The sequence below is a fragment of the Homo sapiens genome, chromosome 1 (assembly GCF_000001405.40).
Source record: "Homo sapiens chromosome 1, GRCh38.p14 Primary Assembly".
Taxonomy (NCBI): Eukaryota; Metazoa; Chordata; class Mammalia; order Primates; family Hominidae; genus Homo; species Homo sapiens.
The window spans coordinates 76,349,664-76,374,908 of NC_000001.11; the positions used below are offsets into that span (position 1 = coordinate 76,349,664).

At 38.0% G+C, this 25,245-nt stretch overlaps 1 protein-coding gene and 1 pseudogene across 15 annotated transcripts in view, besides 1 other annotated feature; one reads left to right on the top strand and one right to left on the bottom strand.

Annotated features, from left to right (window-relative positions):
- Positions 1-25,245, top strand: part of ST6GALNAC3 (ST6 N-acetylgalactosaminide alpha-2,6-sialyltransferase 3) — a 562,594-nt gene that overhangs the window by 274,918 nt on the left and 262,431 nt on the right. The window lies entirely within an intron of this gene.
- Positions 3,917-4,576, bottom strand: LOC100418965 (peroxiredoxin 5 pseudogene; annotated as a pseudogene).
- Positions 12,692-13,192: an enhancer, noted in NCBI's record as "H3K27ac hESC enhancer chr1:76828040-76828540 (GRCh37/hg19 assembly coordinates)". NCBI's record gives its function as "activates a minimal SCP1, AML or CMV promoter by ChIP-STARR-seq in primed H9 embryonic stem cells {active_cell/tissue: H9 hESC(primed)}" and the evidence as "EXISTENCE:reporter gene assay evidence [ECO:0000049][PMID:30033119]".

Below are 25,245 nucleotides of genomic sequence, written 5' to 3' on the forward strand. Positions count from 1 at the left end.
CTATTCTTTGATTTATCAACTTCAGACATTATTTATTGACTCCTCTCTATAAAAAAGGAGGATTTATCTCATGCTTCTTTCTATCTGCTCCTCTCCTTCCCAAAGTTGGATCATTATGTTAGCATTTTGGTTCTTCTGTTGTTTCTCTTTCTAGGTTTAAATAACAAACTTAGATCTCTTTGCATCACCTTGAGGCAGTGTCTCTTGTCTGTCCAGCAAGATGAGGGTATTTGCTCCCCTATGCTTTTCTCCCCTTTTTCATTGTCAAGGTTGCTAGTGTTCTATTCTATAGATGTATTTAAAGTTTCTAAGTTTTATATATAGATAGCTTGACTATAAAAGTTGAAAAATGGTATACAAGATTTATTTTATAATGTCGCTTAGAAAAATTTGAAAATTGACTGTGTATTAGAAATTATTCACTCAAATGCATTATTCATGTAACATTTCTGTTGGTTTTTTTTCAACATAAAAATTTCAAGAGAAAACCTAGCTCATTTCAAAATCCAGATTTTAAAAAGGTTATTTTTGATTTTTATTTTTTAAAGCAACGGGGTCTCCCTATGTTGCCCAGGCTGGTCTTGAACTCCTGGGCTTGAGTGATCTTTCCTTCTGAGCCTCCTGAGTAGCTAAGATGACAGGCGCACATCACTGTCCCTAGCACAAAATCCAAATTTTCAAACAAGTTTTAAATAGGTAAACTTTATCATGCTTTTATCTCCCTCACAAGATTTACTAAGCATTGGGTTCAAAAAGAAATATTTAAGCTTTAATTTTTAAAGGAATAACTACTGACAGTTAATAATATTAAGAAAAAGAACATGAAAATGTCTTTTGAATGACACATTTTAAAAACATTAGTTTGAATCCGATTTCTTCAGTTCAAGTGCAATTAATAGTCTAATAAAAGAATCATCAATAAGATGGGTAAATGTGTGAATCATGTCTTAGATTTTTAAACTAAGACAAGTTGAAAATAAACACATTTTCTGGCTTCATAGATAAGCCTTGTGTTATATCAACTCTGTGACATAGATTAAAATTACAATAATGGATTAAAAGTATTATTTTATCTCATCTAAGACATGTAATATTAGTACTGTAATGTCTTTTAGTACTTACACTAATATATGGGCTGACAGTGGTGAAACAAATACTAGGTTCCTGAAGCTTTCCTAAGCATTATAATTCTGATATATGATCATATTATTTTCAACACCACATCTCAATTTTCTGACACATTTTTTACTTTTATAATTCTAGGATTTGCAGCATCACATTCTTCTCTAACTCCTTGCTTATGTGACTAAGAAAAGTGTTTAACTAAGTACAAAAGTTCAGAGTGTAACTTAGTGTTAAGAAGTAAGCCAGATTTTGTCCCAGATCTTACATACTAATCAGCTTTCACTGAGAGATTAATTTACTAGAATTTCTTTTGAGTGTGCGTGTCTCCATTCATACAAAGATTCGGCTACATTTTTCTTTTTTGTGTATTAGCTTTGTCAAGTTTGGCATTAGGCTTATGCTGGTTTTATAAAATGAATAACTTTCTATCTTTTTGTTCAGCCTGGGAACAAATTATGTAGCATAGTCATTTTTTGAAGATTTCAAAGAACGTTTTTCAAAGAAATGTGTGGGCCTAAATATCCTTTTGGAAATATTTCATTTATAACATTTTCAAACATTTTCATAATTATCTATATTGTTTTAAACTCCTTCCTGAGTCAGTTTTAAACACTTGCACATTCCCAGAAAATTCTCTTTTTATCTAAATTTTCAATTTTTTTAGTATAAAGACTATATGGAGATCTGTGATATACTTTAAAACTACTATAACTTTTTTTTATAACTTCTAACTTGTTTTGTGCTTTCTTTTTTTGTCTTTGTTAGAGTCTCCATGTTTGCCCATTTTGTTCGTTTTTCTGACAGCCTAGCTGTTGAATTTATTTGTCCACTTTAGAATTAAAATATTGCCAAATTTATTCTTATAATTAAAATTTTTTCAGAGTTTATGAGAAGTAGGATAATCATATATCCCAGTTGCCTGGCATATTCTGGTATATGCCTTCTATCCCAACGTAATTATTAGTAGTACTCTCTTTCCTCCCCAAAATACATCAGTTGGGTAATAAATTATGTGGCCACTCTAATGATAAGTGAAACATACATTTTCCTCTCAATACAATAGCAGGCTATAATTACAATGCATAATTATAATTACAGATATTGTCTCATCCCCTGGGATGTGAAAATTCATGTTGAGGAGGTTGGGGTGGGGGAAGGTCAAAAGGCTTTTGATATTATAAATGTTTGTGGCCATCCGAAGGGCCATAGTACCTAAGTAGATAACGAGTTTAACTGCAGTATCAAATTTCATGTGGGAGGGGGTATAAGTAGGATAAAATTGTCTTAACCAGGCTCCTTAGAGGGACAATAATGAAAAAAGAAAAGGTTGAGAAAAATGTTATAATGCTGTTTGAATACCACCATTGATTAGTTCATTTTATTTTTCTCCTTAATAGTCATTTGGTGTTTTCTAATTTGTAAGTAAATATAGTTTCTGTTTAAACAATAAGTTATTGTTTCAACACTGAAATACCCTTGTTGACATCATCAGTGGTCAACATTGTCAACACATTGTTCTGTGTTTTTGGCTGACTCTGCTTTTCAATACCGTCTGTCCAACTTGACTATTTCCTCCTTTTTTTTTTTTATTGAGAATATTATTGGGCTCATAGGATTAAATGAAATAAGATAGTAAGGCATTCAGAACTGTGCCTGTCCCTCCTGCTTTCCCTCTGTCTCACTGGTTATTTTCAAACTTTTTGGTTTCCTTTTTTTTTTTTTTTTTTTTTTACCTCCGGCCAATCTCTAATTGCTGGAGTGCTAAAGAGCTTGAGCTCTTTTTCTTCTCTATCTGCATTTTATTCCTGAATGACCTAATCTAATTACATTGCTTTAACTCCTTCTGTATAACTTTATACCTCCAGCCCTGACTCGTACCATGAGCCTCTGACTTGTATATTCCATTACCTGCTTGATATTTCCATGTGGATGTATAATAATTATCAGAATTAGGTACAGGCTCAAAACTGAATTTTTTTCTTCACATCTGTTCTACATTCCTCCTCGTTCCTATAAATGGTATTGCCATTCACTCAGTTTCTTAAGTCAAAAACCTAAGATGCATTCTAGACATTTCTCTGTCTGCCTTCCTCCACATTCCATCTGCCATCATGCCAGCTGGTTATATCACCAAACCTGTCCACTTCTCTTGATTTTCCTTGTTACTCTAATCCAAGACACCATCTGCTGTCACCTACATTCTCCACTGGTCTCCTGCTTCCACTCTCATCTTCCAGCCCTCACCCTCATCATCCATTCTCCAAAGAGATCTCTTAAATATACAACTAGAATTACTCCACTCCCCTTCTTAAATTCTTTATTGGGCTTTCACTGCAGTCAGAATAAACACTGAACTCTGTATCATGGCCAATAAAGAACCATGCTCCCATCTCCTCTCCAGCCACCCTGGCCTTCTATTCCCTTAACATGCCTAACCAGTTTCTGTCATGGGCTTGCTTGCTGTTTCCTCTCCCTGTACGTTCTTCGGGCCCACGCGTTTCTGTGGCTGGCCATTCTTGTCTGAGCAGTCTCAGCTCAGTTGCCACCCCTTCAGAGAGGCTTCCAACCTGGCACCATAACTAATGTCAGCTCCTTTCTACCAATGATTATTGAGTTGCCCTGCCCAACTTTTTTTTTTGTCAAATCATTGTTCGTTTGTTTTGAACTGGAGTGTTTATTGCAGAAATTTGGCCAAGGTTCCAATTGAGTGACTCCAGCTGAGGTTAGACTGGGGCCCCTTGCCCAGGGCTGGGCACCTGAGACAGGAAACAGTGAAGGGATCTGGGCCTCAGAGCTGTGAGATAGAACTGGGGACCAGGCTGCAGGTGAGGCCTGTATGGTCAGGTTCATGCAAGGCCTTCACCACACCATCCTCTATCACCAGGAAGAACCTCTCAAGCTCTCATCCTCAAAGAGTGGCAACAGCAAATCATCTAGTAACAAATCAGTCTCCTTCCCAGAGGCCCCAGGGCTGCCACCCATGAGCTGGCCTTGGCCTTCTGCACTGTGGCCTGTCCCCACTCACCAGTCACAAAGACACAAAGACAGTGGCACTTAAACATGGATCTGGCCCCCCTTTACCTTCAGAACCCCAGCCTACTCCCCAAACCCAAGCAGGTGGGTCTTTGACAGTTGGGGTGAAAGCCCCAGGGATTCTAAACAGCACACCCTTCTTTCCCTGGCATAGTTCTGTCAGGTCCACCTTGTTCCCAGGCTCCCTTTCAAACACCACTAATGCCAGGATAGCATCTCCCACCATGACAGGTGCCATGGCTGCAAAGTTACTGCTGAAATCGTGGGTCCCCAAGCATCCACTCTCCTTCTCTTTCTAGTAGTCACGCTGCTCCTGCTGCTGCTGTTGCTACCACTGCTCCTGCTGCTATGATTCTATCATAGCAGCCCCAGTGAGGACCAACCCAGTTCAATGTTTCAGGGCGCACAGTTGTGCCAGCTCCAGGCTGGGCCCTGTGGCTGCGACAGTCCTGTCTCTGTGGTTAGGCACCACCTATCCTATTCAGCCTTCTTAGGGTTATCTTAGTATTTGGTATAGCTCCTTCTTTTCTGTTGTCCTCCCAGCGCTATCATGTCAGTTCCGTGAAAAAAGAGACCTGTTTCTTCATTCACAATGCACATGTTCTCAGTACCTGGAACAGCTCCTGTCCCACAGTAGGTATTTGTGTGTATATTTTATGTAATAGATTTTTGGCTTAATTCTCATGGAGTCAAATGATGAATGTGAAATTCTTAAATGCTGAAGGTTTGCTGTATTTAGAAGTTTTTGTTGACTGATGGGTTGGTTGGTTGGCTTTAAAGTGAAGTAATCCATCAGGTTTTATGTATGTGAACTTTTATGGAATTTGGTGAAGTGTGTGCCTGTGTAGATTAGTATATAGGAGAGAAGTTTTTATTTCTTTTCAGATGATTAGTTATGCTTTGCCAGTATTTCCTCAGAACTTCTAAGAGTGTTGGTTTGGGGGGATGTATTCAGTATTGACAATTCCACGTTTATCTACATTCAGCTGTCAGGTTGGTTATTTAACCATTCCGAGGCTTTTCTTTTCTATTATGGTCACTTAAAACAAAGTAAAGCAAAATGAAACTAGACTGTTTTGGTAAGCTTTTATTGAAATAAGAGGGGAAAATGTAAGGGGTAAAAATTGCTAAATTATTTGAAATTATTTTTGGATGCAGAGGTTGACTTTATTGACTGAAACAGAATTTAAGTCCTTAGCATCTTATCTGGATGTTAAGAATTGCCTATCTTTTGGTTGTTTCCAGAACAATCATGTAGGTTCCTTTTTGCTTAGACTGAAAATGATTTGGGATGAAGTAAAAAATTCACTCCCTCACAATGGATTAATTTTTTTTCTCAGTGGAGATGCCATGCGGTCAGAATTTCTTGAAAATGACCCACAAGCTTATTACTAAGCAGCTTTGGGCCAATGAGCAGTCTTTTAAAGAAAACATTTTATTTATTTTTCTAATTGGAGAATAATCTATGTTCATTGTAAAGAAAGAAAATAGAAATTATGTATATTCCTACCAAAGACAATTTCCATTTTAGTGTATTTCCTTTCAGTTCTTTTTCTGATATACTATCTTTTCTCTTCTGCTTTGAGATGTGCATTGTGACTTCCCTTTGTGATAAAGAGGATAAATCTGCTGGCTCATTTCCTTTTATAGACTGCCACCTTCTCTACCAACGAAGAAAATGTGCATTTTGGATTTTGCTTGAGTTGAAACAATTTATGCTGGAACAATTATAAAAAGTAGCATCTGTAATGTGAATTTGGCCCACTCTGTATCAGAAAAAAATAACTTCCACCATAGCCCGAGAGGAAACTTTAGGTATCTATCACCGATAGAGCCAATGCTTTTAATACATATTTCATGATCACAGCTGAGGCTTTTCCAAACTCAGAGTGCTGTATCATTCATTCACTCCTTTAAACTACAAGATTATTTTTGGCTCTTTGTGTTGGCACATAGGCCTTTCCATTGCTGATCTGCATGAACCATTTATCAAGTCAAGGGTTTAATCTATCAAAGTCAGAGTTTCTTTTTTCTGCCTGTCTCTGTCTCGCTTTCCCAGATGGTATTGTCTCATATGTGTACACTGTTGGCTTAAAAAAGGCTATTTGGAATGCAAAGGTTTATCAAGTTTCTCCATTTTTTTTCAAAATAATATATTATGGAGCAAAGTGATATTTTATAGGCAATAATAATTATAGTGTTGATCAGGTTCTAAAACATTACATTAACTATAATGTCCCAAACCTCCTTCTTGGCTAATATTCTGGTTCCGTTCTTGCCAGTAGCTCCTATTTTCTCTACTCACTCATTCTGAAAACTTGAATCATCTTTGATTTTCCTCTCTCCCCTTTCCAAACATTTATTGAATTGTCAAATTATTTGGATTGTATCTCCTGGATATTTCTTGAATCCATCCTCCATTGCCTTTGTGTACTGGACTCATGATGTTGCCTGTTGTCTTCAAAGAAGCAGGCAATTCATTTTGAATGCTTTTGATCGGATCCAAATATAAAGGCCAAAACAAATTAAGTAATTTATTTAATAACACTGACTCCTTGCCGCATGCCAACCCCCGATCTAGACTCTGGTGATATAGCAATGAACAGTAGGGTTAAAAAAAAAAAAAAAAAAGCCTAATAGAATTTACATGCCAGTGCAGGAACAGGGGAGAAAGGGACAAAAATAACACTAGTAAGTAAATTATAGGATGTTGGATTTGTTAATGTTGTTATGAGGAAAAGTAAAGGGATGAAAGGCTGCAGTGAGACCTAGGGTGGACAGGGAAGGGTTAGAGTTAAATCAGGTGGTAGGGATGATAATGAAAGTTAACTAAAACTTAAACAGGCATCATAAACAAAGAGAATACATCAAAAAGCATTCTAATTATGTCAGCTAGTGTCCTGAATCCCCCAGTCCTGATACCTAGGATACATAGATAATGCACAGGGATCTTCGGTGCCTGAGCATAACGCAATGAGAACTATTATAATAGCCACCAAGCTGTTCTCCCTCTCTTTGAGCCATTCCCTTCCCAGGTCAGCACTTTCAGCAAAACCGTATTGCGGTCTAAACATAAGAATTGTGCTTAGGAGAAAGTGCTAAAGTTGATTCAAAGAGGCATGTCCACAATAGGTAACCCAAGGTACGCAAGAAGAAATTCCAGGGGCCACAGTAAGACTCAAATCAAAATCAAGAATAATATTTAGTGAATTCTTACTGTCAAATGAAAAAGTCTAAAGTCTTTAGCCTAATATTCATGGCTCTCCAGAAAATAGCTTAATGCTAGTTTTCTTTTTTCTTTTCTTTTTCTTTTTTTTTTTTTTTCATTTTTGAGACCGAGTCTTACTCTGTTACCCAGGCTGGAGTGCAGTGGCATAATCTCAACTCACTGCAACCTCCGCCTCCTGGGTTCAAGTGATTCTCATAATTCAGCCTCCCAAGTATCTGGATTTACAGGCATACACCACCATGCCCAGCTACTTTTTTGTATTTTTAGTAGAGACAGGGTTTTGCCGTGTTGGCCAGGCTGGTCTCAAACTCCTGACCCCAGGTGATCAACCCGCCTTGGCCTCCAAAAGACCATGCTGGTTTTCCAACCTTATTTCCTAGCACTCATCTTCACATCCTTCCACATGTCTTCCAATTTCCTTCCTTGTTGTCTTTATTTGGATGGAAGATCTTCTACCACATTTTTAGGTTCCAAATTCTATCCTTCCAGTGGGACTCAGATCAGATGTTTCCTCTTGTATGAAAGCTTGACAGAAATCATCACCTCCTCTTTAGAATGTTAATAACAAACTCTTTTCTGGCATCTGGTATTATATTTACTATATGTGTGTGCCTCAACATTTCTGTTAGACTAAAGCTCTTTGAGGGTAGCCATCTGGTCCGGCTGTTCTTTGATCCTTTCCCCTTGGCCCACACAGTGTTCAGCACAGATGAGGGAATGATAACAAAGTGCTCAGTGGTATTTTCAATGGCCTAGTTTTTCAATGGCAATTCAAAAATATTGTTGCACTGGAGTGCCTCCAGATGAAGGTCCTAGAAATGGTAAAATGTCATGAAATACCTAATCAGTCAAAGACAGGGAATGTTTAGCTTGGAGAAGAGAAAAGTAATAATAGGCAAATTTTTTCAGTATTCAGCCCCCTACCTGCCTCCCTGCCAACATACTACACCTTTTTCATTATTTTTATTAACTGACCTTCTGGCTATATTCATCAGTGCTCACCACTTCTTTTTTTAAAAAACCATTTTCTCCCCTCAGTGCATAGGGTATGTCTCGAATCTCTCCATCTCTTTTGCTGGCTTTTTTGCCCCTATCGAATCTTTAAATGTTAGAATCTAAGCTCAGTCTTAGATGCCCTATTCTCAGTTCTGATTAATCGATGCTTGTGGCTTCAATTTTAACCTACATGGTGGAGATTCACAAAAGCATACATTCAACCCAGGCAAGATGTCAGAACTTCCAACTACCAACTCAACATCTCTCTGAAAATGCTTCAGAGGACCCAACATGTACATATGGAACTCACGAAACCTTTCCACACTTTCTAATTTTAATGAATGACTTTGCAGCCTTCCCTGTATTAAGTCAAAATTCTGGAAGTCACCCTTGACAGCTTCTTCTCCCTTACTCCTTATAAAAAATCCATTTCCAAGCCTCTAGTTTTTACCTCCTAATGTATCTAAAATCTACTTAGAGATAGATCATTTCCTCATATAGGACACCATTGTCCCTTGCTTACCTAGATTTCTGCAAAAACTAGGCTACCCCCATCCACATTTGCCTCCTCCACTCTGTTCTTCACTCCTCTACAGTTACCATGGTGATTTTTTGAAATGCAGATTTTATTGCCTTATTTCCCTGGGTAAGAGTCTCCGGGATTCTTCTGTGCCATCTCTAAACTCCTCTGAATATGGCCCACAGGTCTCTGCTTCATCTGGACCTCCCTGCCACTCCAACCTCATCTCATACCATGTTGCTCTTATCTTCCTTTGGTTCATCCTTCAAACATAGAGGACAAACTGCGTCTTCTGTCTGGGATGCTCTTCTCTTCTGTTTCCACCTATTTAGATCTTTTACCTCTTAGATCAATCATCATTCCCTTGAAGAAGCACCTTCTGATCTTCCTGAATAGATCAAATCCACTATTAGAGTCTGTACTGGCATCAGGTTATTAAAATACATATTGCAATTGTAATTTTACATTTATTGCTGAGTATTTCTGAGAGTAGGGTAGGAAGAAGGAGAGCTGCAAGACATGAAACAAGAGAGGACCTAGGGACCAGAATATGAAGCACTTAGTAAACCATGTTAAGACATTTTGGATATTATCCTGAAGACAGTGGGGAACCATTTTAAGAGGAAATGACAGGATCCTATTAACATTTAAAAAATATAGTGGTTGAATTATGTCCCTCCATAATTTTTATGTTGAAGTATCAATCCTTTTACCTCAGGATGTGAACTTATTTGGAAATTAGGTTATTGCAGATGTAAGATGTAGTAGGATGAGTAAGATTAGTAAGATGAGGTCATACTGTAGCAGAGTGAGCCCCTAAACCAATAAGACTTGTGTCCTTATTTTTAAAAATATCATGCGGAAAGATAGAAATTCACACAGGAAGAATGCTATGTGAAGACTGGGGTTATGTTTCCACAGATCACGGAACTACCAGAAGTTAGCAGAGAGGCCTGGAATAGATTCTTCCCTAGTACCTTCAGAGGTAGCATAGTTCTGCCAACACATTGATCTCAAACTATAGATTCCAGAACTGGGAGACAATAGAATGCAGTTATTTAAGCCACTCAGTTTCTAATACTTTGTTACAGCAGCCCTAGAAAACTGATATAGTAAGGATAATTCTGGCTGCAGTGTAGAGAATGTTTTGGAAGTGGGTAAAACTGAATATGGTGAGACAATTTGAGGCTACTAATATAAGAGATGACAGCAGCTGTGGAAAAGATTAGAGAACTAATTTGCAAGTAGAATCAATGAAGATAGGTGAATGATTAGACTTACAGAGTGGAGAGAAGAATGGCTTGAGAAATGATGGAGGATTTTAAATCCCATTTATTGAGTGATGACTCCCAAACATACATCTTTAGCTAAGACTTCTCTTCAGTCTTCCAGATTCTTATATCCAAATGCCAGTTAAGCTACACTTGGTTTTTCCACAGTCGCTTTGATGAATGTTTAAAGAAAGAAATTGGTAACTAATAGTTAATAAGAGCTACCATATAGATTACAAAGGAGAATTAATGTATTATTTATCTGAATAACTGTATGTTAAAGGAAGATAAACTTTCATTCTACCTGGGAAAGAGCTTTTAATCAACCATAGCTCCCAGGAATAGAATGGAATAGAAAACCTACCCTTGTGAGGTAGACTTCTGTCTCTGATTACTTCATGCAGGGTCTAAATGTCCATAAGTCTACAACTTCAGCCTGTTTATCCTTCTTTTTTTCATTCACATGGTTCTTTGTTTACAGCTCTCATGTTGTTCTCTTTACATTCAGGTTATATAGAGGCCTGTGATAGTCCTCATATGATGGTAAGGTTTCTCACAGCAAAGACCAAGCTTTGTTAATTTTGTCAGCATATGGTGCCTAACACTAAGCTGTATACCTAACCAGTTAATAACTGCTGCTTTGTTGAGAATGAAAAAGTTTAGGCCCCAATTTCAAATATTTTCTACCCCAACTATGTTATGCAATATATTAATACTAAATATGCCAGTCTATTTTCTTGCTTAGTAATAAAAATACAACGTGTTGAGATAAAATATTTCTGGTAGCTAATCAATATTCCAGTTCTCAATTATCCATGCTAGATTATATTATGCATTAATTTGATTGCATGCTCTGCAGTATATTGTGTATGTGTTGTGCAAAGGCATAATTGCTCATGTTCATACATAATAAGTAGGTTTGGGAATTTGTCTGGAGGTATATCTTAGTTATTAATAGTGATTGTCAAGTGCACATTTCAAGTTTAGAACCTCGTTGGCCTTCTGGGAGTCAGAGTCTCAATTTCAAGGAAAATTTAAACCTTTCCTTTCATGTATTCCTGTTCACTTAATCCTGTCAAAATAGAAGATTTTGTGTCTAAGAAGAAAGAGCTAGAGGCTAATTAAAGGAGTGAAGGCCAGGGTTTCATGGACCTCTGATTTCTCTCCAAATGAGTGATGAATTAAATGTAAATAAGTCAGAAACATACCTTAGGTTTTGCTTTTTTTTTTAATTGTTATAAAAAATTAATGTAAAATTTAGCATCTTAACCATTCTTAAGTGTACAGTTCAGTAGTATGAAGCATATTTGCATTGTTATAAAATAGATCTTCAGAAGTTTTTTCATCTTGCAGAACTAAAACTCCATACACATTAAACAACTCCCCATTCCCCTGTCCCCTCATTTCTCTCTTGGTAACTACCATTCTCCTTTCTGTTTTTATGAAATTGACTACTTTAGATGCTGCACTACTGCATGGAACCATGCAGTACTGGTTTTTTTGGTGACTGGCTTATTTCATTTTATATAATGTTCTTAAGGATCATTCATGTTGTAGCATGTGACTTGATTTCCCTCCTATTTCCCATATAATATTCCATTTTACATATATACCACATTTTGTTTAACCATTCATCTGTCTATAAACATGTGGGTTGCTTCCACTTCTTGACTATTGTGAATTTCTTTTTTAACTAAGTGTATTTGAAAATATACAGTTTCTGTATCAGTTCCATTTTAAATTTTCTCTCTATGAAGATGAAGGAAGAATATTTTTATACACTTGAAAACTTAAAACTCTTTGTCACTTAAGCCTTCTGTATTAGTACATTCTCATACTGCTATAAAGAAATACCTGAGGCCCAGGCATGGTGGCTTATGCCTGTAATCCCAGCACTTTGGGATGCTGAAGCAGGTGGATCACCTGAGGTCAGGGGTTTGAGACCAGCCTGTCCAACTTGGTGAAATCCCATCTCTACTAAATATACAAAAATTAGCCTGGCATGGGGCACACGACTGTAATCCCAGCTACTCGGGAGGCTGAAGCAGGAGAATCACTTGAACCCAGGAGGTGAAGGTTGCAGTGCGCTGAGATCACGCCACTGCACTCCAGCCTGGGCAACAGAGTGAGACTCTGTATCAAAAAAAAAAAAAAAAGAGAGAAAGAAAGATACCTGAGACTGGGTAATTTATAAAGAAAAGAGGTTTAATTGGCTCTGGGTTCCATAGGCTGTACAGGAAGCATGACACTGGCATCTGCTCTGCTTCTGAGAAGGCCCCAGGAACTTTACAATAATAATGGAAGACAAAAAGGGGGATCCAGCACTTCACATGGCCAGAGCAGGAAGAAGAGAGGCGGAAGTGCTACACATGTTTAAACAACCGGATCTCTTGACAACTCACTCATTATCACCAAGACAATACCAAGGGGGATGGTGTTAAACTATTCAGGAGAAACTGCTCCCATGGTGCAATTACCTCCCACCAGACCCCATCTGCAATATGAGGGATTACAGTTCGATGTGAGATTTGGTAGGGACGTAGATCCAAACCATATCATTCCACCCCTGGCCTCCCAAATCTCATGTCCTTTTCACATTGAAAAATACAACCATCCTGTCTCAACAGTCCCCCAAAGTCTTAACTCATTTCAGCATTAACTCAACAGTCCGAAGTCCAAAGTCTCATCTGAGACAAGGCTCATACTTTCTGCCTATGAGCCTGTGAAATCAAAAACAAGTTACTTACTTCCAAGATACAATGGGGTTATAGACATTGGGTAAATACTCCCATTACAAAAGGGATAAATTGGCCAAAACAAAGGGCTACAGGCCCCAGGCAAGTCCTAAACCCAACAGGGCAGTCATTACATTTTAAAGCTTCAAAGTAATCTCCTTTGACTCCATGTCTCACATCTGGGACACACTGATGCAAGGGGTGGGCCCCCAAGGCCTTGGGCAGCTCTGTCCATGTGGCTTTGCAGGGTTCAGCCCCCATGGCTGCTCTCTTGGGCCAGTGCTGAGTGCCTGCAGCTTTTCCAGGTGCAGGGTGCAAGCTGTCAGTAGATCTACCATTCTGGGGTCTGGAGGACAGTGGCTGTCTTCTCACAGCTCCTCTAGGCAGTGCCCCAGCAGGGACTCTGAACATGGGCTCCAACTCCACATCTCTCCTCCACATTGCCCTGGTAAAGGTTCTCCATGAGGGATCTGCTCCTGCAACAGGCTTCTTCCTAGACATCCAGGCTTTTCTTTTCTACCACATGGACAGGCTGCAAATTTTCTAAACTTTTATGCTGTGCTTCCCTTTTAAATATAAGTTCCAGTTTTAGGTAATTTCTTTGCTCACACATTTGAGCATAGGTTGTTATTAACAGCTGGGCCACATATCGTACACTTTGCTGTTTAGAAATTTCTCCCACTAGATACTGTAAATCATCACTCTCATGTTCAAAGTTCCACAGATCCCTGGAGCAGGGGCACAATGCAGCCAGGTTCTTTGCTAAGGCATTGCAAAAATGACATTTACTCCAGTTCCCAATAAGTTCCTCATTTCCATCTGAGACCTTCTTGGCCTGGACTTCATTGTTCACATCACTATCAGCACTTTTGTTGAAACCATTCAACAAGTCTATCGGAAGTTCCAAACATTCCCTCATCTTCCTTTCTTCTTCTGAGCCCTCCAACTGTTCCAATCTCTATCCATTACCCAGCTCTAAAGTTGTTTCATATTCAGGTATCTTTATAGCAATGCCCCATTCTGTATTCATTTTATGTATTAGTCAGTTCTTGTGCTACTATAAAGTAATACCCGAGACTGGGTAATTTATAAAGAAAATAGGTTTAATTGATCCACAGTTCTACAGGCTATGCAGGAAGCATGATGCTGGCATCTCCTCTGCTTCTGGGGAGGCCTCAGGAACCTTACAATCATGGCGGAAAGCAAAAAGGGGGAGTTGGCACTTCACATGGCTGAAGCAGGAAGAAGAGAGAGAGGAGAGAGGTGCTACACACTTTTAAACAACCAGATCTCCTTAGAACTCACTCATTTTCAAGAAAATACCAAGGGGGATGGCATTAAACTATTCATGATAATCTTCCCTCATGATTCAGTCACCTCCCACCAGCCCCACCTCCCACATTAGGGATTACAATTCAACATGAGATTTATTGGAAATACAGACCCAAAGCACCTTAGCTTCTTATTGTAGATTGTTATTCTCTGATAAAAACTGGTACCAAATATTTTTAGACAGAATAATATTATGAAAGTCAGTACAAGGAACGTATAAAACTCTGAAAACAGATATTAGATTTGTTTGGCAGATTGGTGAATAGGCAATGGAAGTGAATGACTCTTTATCTCCTGAAGGACCAAGGAGGCTTTGAAGAGAATTACTAAGACACACTCATACCTTTTAAAAAGTAACTCTTGGTCAGGCGCGGTGGCTCATGCCTATAATCCCAGCACTTTGGGAGGCTGAGGTGGGTGGATCACCTGAAGTCAGGAGTTTGAGACTAGCCTGGCCAACATGGCAAAAACCCCATCTCTACTTTAAAAAATACAAAAGTTAGCAGGGTGTGGTGGCAGGTGCCTGTAATCCCAGCTACTCGAGAGGCTGAGGTAGAAGAGTCACTTGAACCCAGGAGGTGGAGGTTGCAGTGAGCCGAGATGGTGGCACTGCACTCCAGCCTGGGTGACAGAGCGAGACTCCACCTAAATAAAATAAAATAAATAAAATAAAAAATAATTCTTCAAAATTCAATATTTTCCAAACTTATTAGAATCTACAAGGAACTCAACAAGAAAAAAAAACCTCATTAAAAAGCAGGCAAAAGACATGAAAAGACATTTCTCAAAAGAAGACATACAAGTGGCCAAGAAACATATGAAAAAATGCTCAATATCACTAATTATGAGAGAAATGTAAACTAAAACCACAATGAAATATCATTTCATACCAGTCAGAATGACTGTTAAAAAGTCGGAAAATGACAAATGTTGGAAGATGTAGATAAAAAGATATGCTTATACACTATTGGTGGGAATGCAACTTAGTTCAGGCACTATGGAAAGCAATTTGGAGACTTCTCAAAGAACTAAAAATAGCACTACCATTTGACCCAGCAATCCCACTATTGGGTATACAGCCAAAAGAAAAGAAATTATATTTAAAAAACACCTGCATTCATATATTTATCACAGCACCATTCACAATAGCAAAGTCATGAAAACAACCTAAGTGTTCATCAATAGTGGATTGGATAAAGAAAATGTGGTACATATATACCATGGAATACTACGCAGCCATAGACAAAAAATGAAACCATGTACTTTGCAGTAACATGGATGGAGCTGGAGGCCATTATCCTAAGTGAAATAGTTCAGAAACTGAAAATCAAATACTGTGTATTCTTCCTTATAAGTGGGAGCTAAACAGTGGGTACCCATGGACATATAGAAGGAAATAATAGACACTGGGGACTCCAAAAGGTGGAAAGTGGTTGGGTGTGAGGGTTGAAAAACTACCTCTTGGGTACAGTGTTCACTATTTGAGTGATGGGTACACAAGAAACCCAAACTCCAACATTATGCAATATATCCATGTAACAAACCTGCACGTTTACTTCCTGAATCTAAAATAAAATAACATTTCAAATTTAACTTCTTTTCCACCTTTATTAAAGGTAAAGCTATTACTTTTGTTTTAACACTATAGTGAATAGAATTTTCTGTGTTGTTTTAAATAATTCCGTGATCTAAGTATCTGATGCAGAGATCTTTACCAATGAACATCAATGGTTTTTCCACAAAATTAAGATCTTTTCTAAGATGAATTTACAAGGGCTTTGAGTGTGTATGTAAAAATAAGTCCTAGAATTCTTTTACAATAATGACAAGCATGGCCTTTCAATTTTTCAACATTCTGAAAATTGATAAACAAAGTCATTTACCCTGTCTCTAATTTTCTGAAGATTAGATTCATTAGTTTAACTCATGGTTATAGTTTTTGTGTCAACCGTATTGATGTATACATCAATAAACACAATCTTTCACTTTCACTCACTCTTCTGTCTCCTCCATCTCCTTCCAGTTCCTACATTATTCAGAATCCTTGGCAATTCATATGTGTTAGGTGTGAAGATATGGAATTGTCAGCATCAGGAAAAGCTATTACCTTGCTACTTCAGACTGAGTCTTTCTCTTTTCTTTGTTTACTTTAGATGATTTCTTTTTTTTAAAGACTGAGTTCTTGAATTCTTATTCTCTGACTTGCTTCATAATCCATTTCAGAATTTCTTGCTCCTACACTTTGTTTCTTTATGAATCAGTCTGTGCATGAGATATTCCATTTTTAACCCAGCTTAAATTTCTCCAATGTACCCTTGTTTTGCTTTCAAGACAGTTAGCAACTCTGAATTCAAGCCTATGATCTTCTTTTAGAAACCTGATCTGACAGACTCCTGCAAAATTCTACCTTTTTTCCTGGCTCTTAATTTAGCTTTGAAAATGAAGTACATACTATTTATCTGGTTATACATTTTAAAGTAGATTCTAAGTGCAAAAAATGTGCCTAGTCAATTCAAGTTGACTCCTGATTTTTTGAAAAAACATTAAGAATTGAATAACAAGAATAAGAATAAATATAAGGCTACTGACTGAAATGTGATCTTTCTCTTATTTTGAACATCTTATTTCACAAAGTTCTAAGTCCTTTTCTATTTGGCTTGACCGCTTCCATATGATCATGGATATAAAACGATTAAACAGAAAGTTCACATTCAGCAAATATCAAGGTGTTCTTAATATCGTAACTTGAAATCAATGAAGAAGTCACATTTTCTGCTTTGTAAAAACTGCCTCACATGTCCCTGGTCTGGCAAAAAAATACACACACAAGTACTGAAAACAGAAGATGATAGCACCAGCTAAATAGCACCATTGCTAGGCATAAGATTTGAAAGCCAGCACTTTGCAGGGAAAATTTGAGTAAACAACCTCTGTGGAAATACAGTTAATTAAATCTCGATTCTATAAACTGTGAACCAAAGTTTATATAAAAGAGAGACTAAGAAGTCTTTGTTGTAAGTATTAAAAATTCTGACATAAGGAAGTGACCACTCTAGCCATATCAGTGTCAGAAAATGACAGTGTGGGGCTCCAAGGCTGAGAATCAGTGGGGCTGCAAAATCTGGACAAAGAAAGGCAGAACAAGACATAGACTACAGAAAAGAGAACATTATCTGAGCAATACCAGGCTAATCCCTTGGTGTGAAGAAAATAGGAGTTAATACCAAAAACATATGGCTCATTATTCATGTAATTATGCTTGCAAGCTATATAGTAAACTATATGTGAAATTTTCATACCATAGTATAAATTCAGTCATTAGTTTTTCCTTTTCATATATACATTAAGTAAATATGTATTGAGGACCCTCAGATGTCTCAGGCATGGACCTATAATGGTGAAGGATTCAGCTTTGCCCTCAAGGATCTTACAGGAATGGGGCAGATGGCAAGGAAAGAAACAATACCGTGTGGTAAGCACAGGGCACTAGGGGAACAGGAAGTAGTGATCTATTTATCTGGATCCTTGTGGGCAGAGGAAATAAACATAACTAAGAACAATGAATGATAAGTTTACAGGAGGGTAGGGGAGAAGATTCCAAGTAGAAGCATTGTACTAAATTTTGAGTGGGGCAAAAGTTCAGTGAAACTTTTATTTTTATTATAAACCCACCAAAGTAAAAGTTCTCAGCTTACATATTATAGATAGCTCTCTGAACTGGATGAATGTCAGCTGTGATTTCAATCAAGCAATGATGATATGGCCAGATGGAGTGTGCCACCTCCCTTCAGCATTTTGTCTTAAGAGGGTTTCTAATATGGCTTGTCAGACAGTATGTGTATTCCGTGTGTTGCTGGAAATTTGAAGCTACCGTCTAGAAACAAAGGTCTTGGTCTCAGCAGCATTCAGTGAGTTGGTGCCCCCCAGTACCTTGGATAAAAAAATGTATCCTATAAAGGGCTCCATGAAGCACAAATGTAAAAACATGCTACAAAAGCATCTCTTCTTTTCATTGTGCCACAGGGGCTATCACTGTGAGTCTGACTTGCAAAGTGCACAGCAAAGCGAACCTGTGGTCTCACTACTTTGCTTTATACTATTGCCCACTCCAGCACCTGCATAAGGCTGAAGGATATCCACCAAGAGAATGCTCATCACTTTGCCAACTGCCCTCTGTGCTCTAGCCCAGGGTGGGCATTTTTTTTTTCTGTGAAGACCAGCTGGCAAATATTCTAGGTTTCATGTACCTTACAGTCTCTGTGACAGCTAATCAACTCTGCCGTCGTAGAGAAAACCAGCACAAAACCATCTATAGGCAATAGACAAATGAATGAATGTGGCTGTGTTTCAATCAAACTAAATTTGCAGAAACATGCAGTGGTCCCAGGCCATAGTTTGCTGATCCCTGCTCTCAACAATCCTTTAAGGTGTGGTATCTGGATCCTAGCATATGCTGTTTCTGTTTCATGAAACATTCCTCCTTCATCTCTCTGCCTAGCTAGATTTTAGTAATTCTTCAGCTATTAGCAGAGGTTATTTTTTGAGGGCAGATGCCTCACTGATGCCCCAAATCTGATGGTATGCCACTTCCTCTCCAGAGTACTGACTGATTTCTGGTTGTCTGGAGACTTGCTCTCTGCACTTCAGAGTATGAGCTTCCTAAGGGTAGAAATCTGCTTCCCTTTCTGCCTGCTGAATCCCTGGCACCTAACACACAATGCCTGGGACATAGAAGTGACTAAATACATATTTGTTTAATGCTTAACAAATGAAATTACTTACATCTTCCTTACTTTGTTAGGATCATAATTCTAGCAGGTGAAATTATTTATGGTCTTATAGTTTATGAGCCATGTCACCATGTTATCACATTGTAACAAAGCAAAGGTTTAACTATATCTCGGCTCCAGTGGCATTCAGAGGGCTGTGGAAATCAATAGTTTTAGCTTCATTTAGCTAAGTGGAGAATGCCATTTGGGCAGTCTGTGTCTACTAACAACTTGGTCCACACCCACTGCTCTGCTGTCTCGAGGTGGAGAATAACACCTCTCTGTCCCCATCAGTGTCTTCCACTCTTTTTAGAAGTACTGCCAGCACAATGCTGTCTATGCTCCAATGCTTAACAAAATTTTTAGTGAAATGTTGCTTACCTTTTTGATATATCTTATTATCATCCTAGAGCCCAGAGAAGTGCATTAGATTAACATGGAATCAGAATCCGATGTAACCAGAATAACTTCCCTCCACCAAGACTAATGCTTTGTTACTGGGTCTAAAATGTTGGGCTCAGTTCTTGGGAAGACTTACTTCCCAGGAAGCTCCTCTGTGTCTCTTAGGCTCACACTTCAAGGAGGCTGCTCATTAATTTTTCAACATGCTCAGGTATCACTGTGAATCCTGGCCAGAGCAAGCTGGTACCTTGACTACTCTTTTTTCCTCTTCCACTTGCAGGTAGAACAACAACTAATAACAAATGTATATATGTAGCTCACTATGTGCCAGGTATTCACCATCTGTAAGTGATTTACCAGTAGTAACTTAATTGAACCTTGTGGTGATTCTATTGCATTATCTTTATTTCACCAAGGAAGAAGCTGAGGCACAGAGATGTTAGTTACATTGCCTAAAGTCACACAGCTAGTAATGATGGAGCTAGGAATATAACTCAGACACTCTGGTTCTGAGTAAATGCCCTAAACCCATGCTGCTGGTGCTGTGATAGCTGAGTCTCAGCCTCTTCCTTTCTCCTACCCCTAAAGAATATACAGTCTTCATTCTACCCACTTCTCTCTCAGAATCTCAGAAACTAGGAAAAAAGGAGGGGTAGAAAACACATAACAGTGCATAACTTATGGTACAGACTGAGACTTGAGGGGAAATATTCAGAGACCACTTTAGATATTAGGCAATGCTAGCTCTATAATAAGTAGAAAATTCCAAATTCAAGATATTCTGAGCCTTGAAAATCATGAGGGAAATAAAAATGCCCTTGAATGGCTATGCTGCTTTCTCTATTCAAAGAGCTAGCTTGGAACACTAAAAGGATGTTCTTATTCACTAAGTGTTTTTCACTGTTTGAGTCTGCAGTGGAGTTTTAGCCACAAATAAATGTTTTTCCTAAAATTGAAATCAATTTGTAAAATAATGTAGAAAATATAAAGCCTCTTGCTGTTTTTCTCAGTGATAAAGCAGCAGGACCGCAGCAGGAACCAACCATGAAAAATGTGGCCACCTCGTTGAGCTTTGCACTAGGAAGCTACTTCATTTTCACATACAAGGATTCTCCCTATTCCGTGTTGCAAATAAAAATTAGTAAATTAGTAGTACTAAGTTTAATGAACTCTACTGAACTCTGTGTGATACAGGAACTGACAACTATGGGTCTGAAGATATTACATCCCTGTTGCTTTGTGAAAATTATCTTTACTCCAGACTTGATAGAATTAGCGTAAACAGATAACTCATCCATCTTTCAATTTAAAGACCTTCCTTTTCCTCCCATCTTTTTCCTTTTCATCTTCAATGGTTAATTCTCATTTGAAAGGATCATTCCCTTCATAGACATATCCCCGGACTAAAACATGCTCTTTCTAACCTAAAGAAATGGTTTCTTCATAAACTCATAGGCATTAACATATTTTTGTAAGGTCACCAAGAGTGACTTGTTCGGGGTACCTGAAAGTCAATATGGCGATAAACTGAAGAATCAGATTTTTCTTCCTGATTTTTCTAAGATTATTGTGGGTAAGATGAACCATCACTTTTTGGGCCCTAGAAACTGATTTATATAGAGACTAGAAAATGTTTTACATAGAGAAACTAATTTATATGCAGATTAGAAAATGTTTTTGGAGTTTATTTTCCCACTAGTAAAGCCAATTTTTTTCTATGTAATGAATCCATTCACCTACCCATCTACCCATCAGTCTACCCATTCACATGTCCATCCATCCATCCATTCATCCATCCATCCATCCACCCACCCAGTCCAATCTATAATTCTAACCATCTTGACCCTTTTTATATTGCTTCTCTGCTTCATTTTTATCTTTGCCCTTGTCATCTTTTACTATTTGACACAAGTTTTTTATTTCATTTATTGTCTGCCTCACACTTTAGAATGTAAATTCCATTAAGTCAGAAATTCCAGTCCATTTTGTTCATGGTGTATCCCCAGCACCTAGAACAATACTTGACAATAAATGATAATAAATGTGAGAAATGTTGCAAGAATTTTTATTAAATATTTATTTAGCATTTACTACTTTTAAAGCACTGGATTGAGTGCCAAAAAGGATCTAAGATGAAGCAGATATGGGTCTCACTGTCAAGGAATTCCAGGCCAAGAAAGCTATCACCAAAATATATTATTTTAATGGCATCATTATATAGGGGGCAAAGTTGTTTTCATGAGAAAAATGAAGCATATGTGGTATTTATACTGTGCCTGAGTGAAAGGCTTCCCCAAGGAAGTGACACATGACATTGAATAAGGGGAAGTATTTGAAAACCGAGAGTTGTAGTGGAAGGGCATCCTAGAAAAAAGTGACAACTGGAATTAACAAGTGGAAGTGGAAAATGCAGGATATGTTGGAGACAGAAAAGCAATTGGTTCAGTTTAGAGGAAGCCTAGAGGCCAGAAAGATAATAATGGAGAAGATCTATTTGGAAAGAGTGGTTGGGTCAGATTATGGAGGATTTTGATGTCACCTGTTGGCAGTAGCGAGTCCGAGATTCTCTCGTATCTGAACCTCTCTGTCTCCCCTATATTATAACTTTTGAATGACAATATTTTATGCTTCCTGTTCTGGTTTCCAAAGCAGCAATGTGGCCATCCCAGTTTGCTAGAGCCTGGAAGGATTCTTGTATGAAATGCAAATTCAGTCTTTGATCTACATTTTGTAGGTCAACAACCTCAGTTTCGTGGTGGTAATTACAGGGCTCACAAGGATGTTGTTCTTGAGTAATGAATCTAATATATTAGTCACAAACAGTAAGCATCTCACTTCCCCTACTCCTCCTTTTGGTTAAGGAGCACAAATTGTCCCCAGTTCTTTGAGATTTCTTCCGGGTTCATCTGGAGCATGGATTTCTACCTTTGCAAACATTTAACTTGCAGCCCTAGAGCTGTGTAATAACAGATAGTATTTTCTACTCCTAGCCTTATCTGGGGAGAACACACACAAAAAAGTGTTTTTTATTTTGGCATGTGAGACTATCGAGTGTGTCCTTGTTCCATAAGTGTACTTTGGCACCAGGAAGCAGAGACAGCAGCTTTCAAGTGATGGGAGAAACAGACTGATTAAGAGCTCTGCCTGGGCAGACGGTACTGAAACTGGGTGTGTAGTCCTTGCCTCATCATTTCAGTTTTTTTAATGTAAATTTTTATTTTTGATTGAAAAATAATAATGTATGTATTTATGGGGTACAATGTAATGTTTTATTATACACAGACATGCACACACACGCGCACACACACACATTGTATTGCAGTATTATTCACAATCGCCAAAACAGTTTGGGGGTTTTCATGAAAAAAATTCCAATTTTGGGTCTGTTAGTATATTTTATCATTTCCCCCATTCTCAATTCTTTTTCCTCTAAATTCCTTTCCCTCTCAGTTAATGACACCACTGTCCTATCTTTCCATATACCCAGAATTAAAACTTCAGTGTCAATGGGAAAAACTGGTCATAACATCATCTATTTTAATTAAATTTAAGTAATTTATTTACTTAAAAAATCAAGATGAAAATACCTAATTTAAATTACCACTGAAGGCTAGCATTCATTTCCATGGCATGGCCATTTATTTGTTCTTTGACTTCATCTTCTCCTATTATTTTCACTCCTATCCATTGAATAAATTCTGAAATGGGAATAGTATCAAATGGGAGTGTTACTTCCACACTTTGCTGGGTGGAGCAAACCTATCTCCTCACAAAAGGGATAGAAGTCAGTTTGCAGTGACTTCCCTGATCCTACCAGCCAGACATGCTCCTTGCCTCTCTTCTTGCCTCCTCCTTTAATATTTAAAATATTTTTTTTAATTTTATTTATTTATTTACTTTTTGTAGAGATAGGGTCTTGCTATGTTGGCCAGGCTGGTCTCTAAGTCCTGGGCTCAAGTGATCCTCCTGCTTCAACCTCCCAAAGTGCTGGGATTATAGGCGTGAGCCACGGTGCCTGGCTTCTGCCTTTTTGTGATAACAGATGGTAACAGGAATGACACCACACTTATTTGTACCACTGTCATGGCTCTAATGATTATGGCTTTGAAGTAGCATCATTTGTTTAAAGAGCTCAGGTTGGTGGCCCAGCAAACTCGGGTTCAAATTATGCCTCTAGTGCTGACTTAATGACATGGGGCATGTCGCTTGACCTTGCTGGGCCTGTTTTCTCATCTGTAAGATGGAGATTACAAAAACTTTCAAGGTCCTTGTGGGAAGTAAACAAGTTAATATATGTAAGGCACATGCACATAGCCTGGGACCTGGTAAATAGGTGCCAAGGGTAGTTATTACTGTGGTTGTTATTGTTAGAGTTTTTGTTTTACTTGTGCTAAAAATAGAAGATTCCCAAGGACAGAAGCTTCGTCTTCTACACCTTGAAGGGTAGTGTTTTTAATAAGCAAAGGTGAGTGTGTGAGGTGTCAGGTATGAGCACTGAGCTGTGGAGGCTTTCTTGATCTTTTGCTTTGTATTTTAATAGATTTCTTCTTCCAGTATCCTGCCTCCTGGTAATGAGAAAGGGGATAAGGTAACTTACACATAAATTTGGTTCAGGTACATCATTTTTTGTCCCTAGATCATAGATATCTATTTGCAAGGATGCAATCTGTGATAGCTAAATGTTTGCTTTGTTTTATAAAATCAAGCTAAGAGAAATAAATGTTAGGTTTCACATAAAAAAAGTCCTTTTCAGAAAGAGGGTGCTGTAAGTATTTCCATTCTCTCAAAGCATTCTAGAGACAGAAAAAGTGTTTTCTAACCCCTTCCCACCCCCACCATTCTTTTCTTTTGGTGCCTGGTGAAGAGTACATTAAAATAGGAAGGAACATTCCAGAGTGCTCAATTGCCTCTGTTCAGGGTCCACAGCTGAATTTCTAAGTTCTTTCTCCTGTGGTTTATGCAGCCTATACTTTGACTACTTCTAGTTAGACAGAAGGAAAGCTCACACATTTTGCAGTGAGCCAAGGTAAAAGAGAACTCTTTTGTCAAAGTAATAATAACACTTAGCACTTATATAGGGCTTTTTATCTTCAAAAGGCCTTGCAAACATTAGCTAATTAAGAAGTCTGCTCAATGTGCAGCAGCTGTTGAAAAAATAAATGTGATGCTTGGGTGTATTAAAAAGAAGAACGAAAACATGAGGACATCCTATATCAAGCAGCTGTTGTACTCCGTCTAATTTGTTTGCTTCACCTGGTGGAATACATCAGACGCTAAAATAGTCCTGCCCCATAGAGTAATAATGGTTAGGGATGAGGCAGAGCTTGTACATAATGGAATATTGCAAGGGCTACTGGATATTTACCGGAAGAGGAAAAACCAAAGAAAAGCTGCATCGCCTAATTTTTATTACACTTTTATAATCATGGGCTCATGCAGCACTAATGAAACAGACATCTGACATGTCTAATGACATGAACATATCGTAGATTCTTTAAGAAGAACCTATTTGCAAGAGCAAGCATTCTCATTTATTCATTCAAATTTACTACCAAATATGTATTGAGTACTTACCAGACACTGGAGACATGCATTTATAAATTACTTGGGGACAGTTTTGAAACAGCTGTGGCTCTATCATCTTACATGTTATTTACCTATTGTACCTTAATTTTACATTAATATTGACACACATCCACCCAGACCCATATTAAATTCAATCAACATTTTTATTCGTTGATTCTTTGGCAGAAATGAGCTAATACACCATTGCAAGAGCTGAGCTATTATTTTGGTGATGAAAACAAAATTTAGAAATAACCAAAAAATGTTT